Raw genomic sequence first — 2725 nt, 5'->3', positions numbered from 1 at the left:
CTTCTCATCTGGTCACTCCCACCTACTGCCCCCACTGAAACTTCCACCTATCAATCTCTTCCCACACAAGGCAAATGGTTCTTGGACCAACGAAAATATCTCCTTCCAGCCTCACAGGCCCATTCTATTCTGTCGTCATTTCATAACCTCTTCCATGTAGGTTACAAGATGCTAACCCGCCTCTTAGAACCTCTCATTTCCTTTCCATCATGGAAATCTATCCTTAAGGAAATCACTTCTCAGTGTTCCATCTGCAGGCTCCCTCCCTTCCCTACACATCAAGCTCGGGGATTTGCCCCTGCCTAGGACTGGCAAATTGACTTTACTCATATGCCTCAAGTCAGGAAACTAAAATACCTCTTGGTCTGGGTAGACACTTTCACGGGATGGGTAGAGGCCTTTCCCACAGGGTTTAAGAAGGCCACCGCAGTCATTTCTTCCCTTCTGTCAGATATAATTCCTCAGTTTGGCCTTCTCACCTCTATACAGTCCAATAACAGACCGTCCTTTACTAGTCAAATCACCCAAGCAGTTTCTCAGGCTCTTGGTATTCAGTGGCGCCTGGTTTTACCTCAAACTGCCACCCTTAAGTCTCTCTTAAAATGGATAGAAGATCTTCAGTGGCAAAGTATACTCCAATACTTTCACCCTGATGAAGTCCTATTCTTTACTTTTATACTTTTATTCTCGTTCCCATTCTTATGCCACCCTCTACCTCTCCCCAGCTATCTCCACCACACTATCAATCTCAGTCACTCTCTCCTAGCCGTTTCTAATCCTTCTTTAACAAACAATTGCTGGCTTTGCATTTCTCTTTCCTCCAAAATTGCTGAGGTCTCGACTTACTCACTGCTAAAAAAAAAAGGGGGGGGGGGCTCTATATTTTTAAATGAAGAGTGCTGTTTTTACCTAAATCGATCTGGCCTGGTATATGACAGCATTAAAAAAAACTCAAAGATAGAGCCTAAAAGCTTGCAAACCAAGCAAGTAATTATGCTAACCCCCTTGCACCCCCTTGGACACTCTAATTAGAAGTCCTGGGTCCTCCCAATTCTTAGTCCTTTAATACCTCTTTTTCTCCTTCTCTTACCTTGTGTCTTCCATTTAGTTTCTCAATTCATCCAAAACTGTATCCAGGCCATCACCAATCGTTCTATACGACAAATGTTTCTTCTAACAACCCCACAATATCACCCCTTACCACAAAATCTTCCTTCAGCTTAATCTCTAACAATAACGTTAGACCCCCTTGGACACTCTCTAATTGGACATCCTGGGTACTCCCAATTCTTAGTCCTTTAATACCTGTTTTTCTCCTTCTTTTATTCGGACCTTGTGTCTTTCATTTAGTTTCTCAATTCACACAAAACCGCATCCAGGCCATCACTCATAATTCTATACAACAAATGCTCCTTCTAACAACCCCACAATATCACCCCTTACCCCAAAATCTTTCTTCAGTTGAATCTCTCCCACTGTATGTTCCCACTCCGCCCTTAATCCCACTCAAAGCAGTCCTGAGAAACATCGCCCATTATCTCCCCATGCCACCCCCCAAAAAATTTTCGCCACCCCAACACTTTACCACTATTTTGTTTTATTTTTCTTATTAATATGAGAAGACAGGAATGTCAGGCCTCTGAGCCCAAGCTAAGCCATCATATCCCCAGTGACTTGCACGTGTACATCCAGATGGTCTGAAGCAACTGAAGAGCCACAGAAGTGAAAATAGCCTTAACTGATGACATTCCACCATTGTGATTTGTTTCTGTCCCACCCTAACTGATCAATGTACTTTGTAATCTCCCCCACCCTTAAGAAGGTTCTTTATAATCTCCCCCACCCTTAAGAAGTTTCTTTGTAATTCTCCCCACCCTTGAGAATGTATTTTGTGAGATCCATTCCCTGTCCCCAAAACGTTGCTCTTAACTCCACCGCCTATCCCAAAACCTATAAGAACCAATGATAATCCACCACCCTTTGCTGACTCTCTTTTTAGACTCAGCCCACCTGCACCCAGGTGAAATAAACAGCCTTGTTGCTCACACAAAGCCTGTTTGGTGGTCTCTTCACACAGACACACGTGAGACATTAGCTATAAAAGAACAACGCAAATGACCCTTGTTTTGAGGGAAAATTTTGCATCTTAGTATATTGATGTCAATATCCTGATCGTAATTGAAAGATTCTCCCCAGGGCCTGAAAGCTTAAGGGAATGAATAACTTCTCCCTTCTCAGGCCCAGTCCCAAGGCACAAGACCACTTGTGCCAGCAGCCTGAGTCAGCAAGATAGCAGAAGCAGGAAGAGAGCTGGCCAGAAGACACACACCCGCTGAAGACTGAGAAAGAGGCCATCTGGATACCATGCATAGCAGTTACATCAGACTGAGGCACTTCCTGTTTACAGGAGACTATAAAACCCCTGCCCAATTCTCATTTGGTGCTGACGCCGTTTTAAGCCTCAGCCCGCCTGCACCCAGGCGCTCATTAAAACAGCGTGTTGCTCCACACTGCCTCGTGTTGTCTGTTGGCATGCTCTCGGGGTTTGAATTTATACAAGAACATTTCATCTGGTGCTGAAACCCAAGAGGGGCTCCAGTCCATGTTCCCTGTGGACCTACCCCTCCACCCCGGACAGCAGACCACAGCAGCTGGACAAAGGGAGCTGCTCAGCCTCCAGTCACCTCTATGTGCATGCATGTAGGTCACTGATCTCACCTACAGG

General features: G+C 45.0%; 2 annotated features.

The window, feature by feature from the left end:
• Positions 2016-2516: an enhancer, noted in NCBI's record as "H3K27ac hESC enhancer chr8:64059469-64059969 (GRCh37/hg19 assembly coordinates)". NCBI's record gives its function as "activates a minimal SCP1, AML or CMV promoter by ChIP-STARR-seq in naive H9 embryonic stem cells {active_cell/tissue: H9 hESC(naive)}" and the evidence as "EXISTENCE:reporter gene assay evidence [ECO:0000049][PMID:30033119]".
• Positions 2162-2456: an enhancer, noted in NCBI's record as "tiled region #14742; HepG2 Activating non-DNase unmatched - State 21:Repr, and K562 Activating non-DNase unmatched - State 22:ReprW". NCBI's record gives its function as "activates a minimal TATA promoter and a strong SV40 promoter by Sharpr-MPRA in HepG2 and K562 cells {active_cell/tissue: HepG2 | K562}" and the evidence as "EXISTENCE:reporter gene assay evidence [ECO:0000049][PMID:27701403]".

This window comes from Homo sapiens, chromosome 8 (assembly GCF_000001405.40).
Source record: "Homo sapiens chromosome 8, GRCh38.p14 Primary Assembly".
In the NCBI taxonomy this organism is placed as follows: Eukaryota; Metazoa; Chordata; class Mammalia; order Primates; family Hominidae; genus Homo; species Homo sapiens.
This window is presented reverse-complemented; position numbering and strand designations above follow the sequence as displayed.